We start from the raw sequence: 3958 nt of genomic DNA, 5'->3' as shown, positions 1-3958 counted from the left end.
TGCCATTTCATGGCTGGAAAGTTATCTCTGACACACAGGACAGACGTCAGTGTGGGTGAGGGGACAAGCCAGCATTGCCTTTCCACAGAAAGACCTTGAATGAAGGATTTGCTGCCAACTAGAACGCAATAGGGTCCAGGCTAGCCTTCCTTCTCTAGAGCTGCTCTGAGTGGCAGTTTGAATAGCCCTGCCAAATCCCTCTGCTTTGCTCTTTCTAAAAAAAGAACAAGTGGAAAGATGTGGCGAGTCAGAGCAACAATCCACGCCTCAGCAGATTGCAGTGCCACTGCAGATGTTAATATTTTTAATGTCAATGTGGAGGCTCCTGTTTGAAATTCAGTGGGGAACTAAAATTAATGTAAGCCTGCTTAGGAATGTCAAATGAATGTTCATCATATTCAAGAGAGTGTTTGTGCAACTTGAAAATGATGGCAATAAAAAGTGGAGGGCTCAGGCTGATAATCACTTTTTTTTTTTTAGGAATAAGAGCAAGTATTTGAAGGTATTTGTGAAAAAAATACACATTGTGGAAGAAATTGTGGAAAGAATAGGTGCATGTCTTGCTGGGAAAAAAAAATAAAGAATGCATGCAAAGGCTTTACATGATAGTGGGCAATTTGATTTTTTAAAAGAGAATATTTTGGAAGATTAGGGGGAAAATGACCCCAATTCTCCACCTCTCCCTGTCTATACATTCCTTGAAATGTGATTTTGCATCTCTTCCTATCAAGATGTGGATTCTCTTTCTGCCCCCCTTAAATTTGGCTAGCCTTGTGACATGCGTTGGCTAATAGAAGCAGCAGAAATCACCAGATGCCATCTCCAGGCCCAGGCTTCAAGAGACCTTGCACAGATTCACAATCTCTCTGGGAATCTTGCCACAAGCATCAGAAAAACTTGGGTTTACCACTAGATGGACCCAACAGAGCCAAGTACCCCAGCTGAGGCCCTCCTAGACTGGCCAGCCCCCAGCTGATCACTGCAGTCACGGGACTGAGGCCTGTTGATATCGGCCAAGCCCAGCCTAGATAACAGAACTGCCCAGTTGTACCATAGATTTTGAGAAATAATAAATAAATCTTGTTTTAAGGCACTAGGTCTTGAAGTGTTCTGTTTCATAGCAATAACTAACTTGAAACAGTATGTATCTATAAGATACTAAACTTAGTGTTAGATAAAGTTTTGAGGAAAACTGAACCCCTGGGTACAGGAATAAAAACAACCCTTTTTACATAATGATTCTGCAGTTATTTCTTAGAGTCTATAAATGGTTACAGTTGGAGATGGACCATGTAAGAGATTATACCATATATCTGACATTAATTCATGTCCTTTTGCAGAAATCTGTTTCTTCCTTCCCTAGTTAAAATTTCCAACCTAATTTAAACGGTAGGTTTTCTACTAGAAATCCAGCTGAGGTCTGAACAGGACCTAATCTGAAATGAGGTCTCATTTGGCATTTTAAAAGCTATAATTTGACATAATTAGCCATTCTTGTCGGTGCTGTGTGTCACCTTAACCACGATCTTGTGTAACTGGTAGAAGTGAGTTTATAAAGTTCTTCAGCATTTTAAATAGCTTTTCTCCTAATCAAGAAATACAGGGGGAAAATAAGATAAGGAGTGAATATTAACAGTGGAAACCACGGTTTGCTATTTTACCTGTGAAAACTGATTTCCTTCTGGCCTTTTTAAACTTCTTTAAAATAGCTAACTCAGTTTCCTCTATTTACCTTGCTTAAAGAGAATCTTAAAGCATATCTGCTAAGAGCAAAATGAGTAGAAATCTGAGTTATTCTTTCCCTAGGAACACTCCAACCTCTGACACAGATATTCTTTCTCCCTTCTTAAGTTCCAAAACATCCACTATTCAGTGGCATAACAAAGTGTTAAGTCTGGTTTAGTCACTTAGTTAATAAAATGATGTGAGTCATGCTTCAAAATTTGAGTTTAAATCATATATATTAAATAATAATTCAGTTAATCTCATCTACCTCACTGCTTCCAAATATTGTTTTCACCCTAAGACACTGAGAAATCTCTTTAAAACTAATTTTTGGGAAAGACATTGCTCTTTAAGCTCACAGCAATAAGGATAGGTTTTGGGCTTACATATTTTACAGCTAAATGATACTTGCCATTTGCATATCATTTAAACATTTTTTTAAATCTAATTTTCTTTTTTTGTAACTCTTGGTGAGCTAGCAGCACCCTTCCAGGCACAATGCAAGCAATTCAGGCTCACCTTTGATACCTACCTTCTAGTTCTCCAAAATCAATTTGTGATAAATTTTATGACAAATACATTTTTAAAATGCTTATTTAACGGAGGTTTGGGAGCTTTAACTAAATAATGAAAAAGAAAAATAATTGCTGAGTCTAAAAGATATTGATGGATTTATTATGTTGCAAAATTCTGCTTATTCTTTCAATATATGGTATTAGCTGAATATTTATAGCTATGTCAACACATAGTTTCAATGATATATAAATATATGTGAAATGCATATTTTGTACATATAAATTTTGAAGGTTATTATTAAAGTAAAACAGAACTTAAAGTTAGAAAAAAAATCAAAAATTGTTGAAGAAATTAGAACAATACTCTATGAAAGCACGATTTGATTGCTTTTCATGTGCATGTCTCTTCACATAGAAGGACCAAACAGACTAATCACAAGTATTGCTTTTATTTTTGACACTGTCAGAACCTCACTAAGAAGCCATAGACATTTATTTACCCTCTTTGTGCCCCATGTGTTAAATAGGTGTGCTAATCATTTCCACTTACTGCACTAGGAGTTGGAAACTCAATTTAAAAAACAAATCTTACTCAAAATATCTTACTACTTGGAAGATATTTTGAGATACTTGACTCAAAGGCTGAATGTGCAGTTATGGTTTCCAAATGCAGACTCAAATCAGCTGTGCCAATTTTGAGGGACTGAAATCTGTTTATATTCTCAGTGTCTTTTTATTCAAATTTTTAAGTTTTTTTTATTAACTTTAATTATAAAATTAATCTGTGTTTAATTGGTGCCTCTCACCTTCTACTCACCCTGCAATCCCCTTCAGTCTGGGTCTTCCTCTCCTCTGGGACTGTGATTAAAGTCCCAATGACGGTCTTAAAATATGTCCAAAAATATTTTGGCACTCATCGAGTAGTGAGGTGTTATCTATACCTCCTCCTTTTGAATCTAATCAGGCTCATGACTCATTTCTCAATTCCTCTCAAATACTTAGACACAGAGAGAAGCATGTGGAAATCAGCCTACCTCTGAGGAAGTAGAAGTGAAATGTCCATATATTCCAAGACATCAAAGTTTCAGGCAATGACTACCCTCAGGGAAAGAAAAGAGATGAATGGGGAAATGAAAGAAAGCAAATACTTACAAGCAAAACCAAAAAGTTACTAAAACAAGTGATCCCCAGTAATAAACCAAAAGGATCTCCATAGTTGCCACAAATTTCTGAATCCTTTAAAAAGATGGGTGTCTCTATTAATAAGGAGACTGCTTTGTCCTGTGGTACTTGTCCTGAGAATTTAGACAACCCAGACAAGGGAAGAGGTTTCGGTGCAGAGGTGAAAGGAGATAGATATTTCTCCACAACATATGAAGGAGCATTAGGTTATCTCTTGGCATCTCTGTAGAGTAGATTTCTGTGTTCCTACATAGTTATTTTCCTAGTATGGAGAAAAGCAAATGCCAGCCACATGAAAAAGAAAGGAGAGTGAAGGAGAGAAAAAGAGAATTAATGATAGGGTATCAGGATGCAAAAACCCTGCAAGTCTGGTGAGCCAGGCTTGCGCCTTGCTCTGGAGCAGGAAGCTCTGAGGAGCCAAAACTCTTTGTCAATAGAATCAGAGATCAGTAGAAAAACGCATTGCTGATTTTTTAAAATTTCTTTAGCTTAACAGATATAGCTTATGGAGACTCTTTTCATGTGAAAGACCCTTC

At 36.8% G+C, this 3958-nt stretch overlaps 1 annotated feature.

Moving 5' to 3' along the window:
- Positions 311-480: an enhancer, noted in NCBI's record as "experimental_67891 CRE fragment used in MPRA reporter constructs". NCBI's record gives its function as "activates a minimal promoter by MPRAs in K562 erythroleukemia cells, with activity observed for both the introgressed and non-introgressed 3:20710619 variant alleles {active_cell/tissue: K562}" and the evidence as "EXISTENCE:reporter gene assay evidence [ECO:0000049][PMID:34662402]".

The sequence above is a fragment of the Homo sapiens genome, chromosome 3, assembly GCF_000001405.40.
Source record: "Homo sapiens chromosome 3, GRCh38.p14 Primary Assembly".
Lineage (NCBI taxonomy): Eukaryota > Metazoa > Chordata > Mammalia > Primates > Hominidae > Homo > Homo sapiens.
Note: the sequence above shows the minus strand (reverse complement) of the source record. Positions and strands in the feature narration are given on the sequence as shown.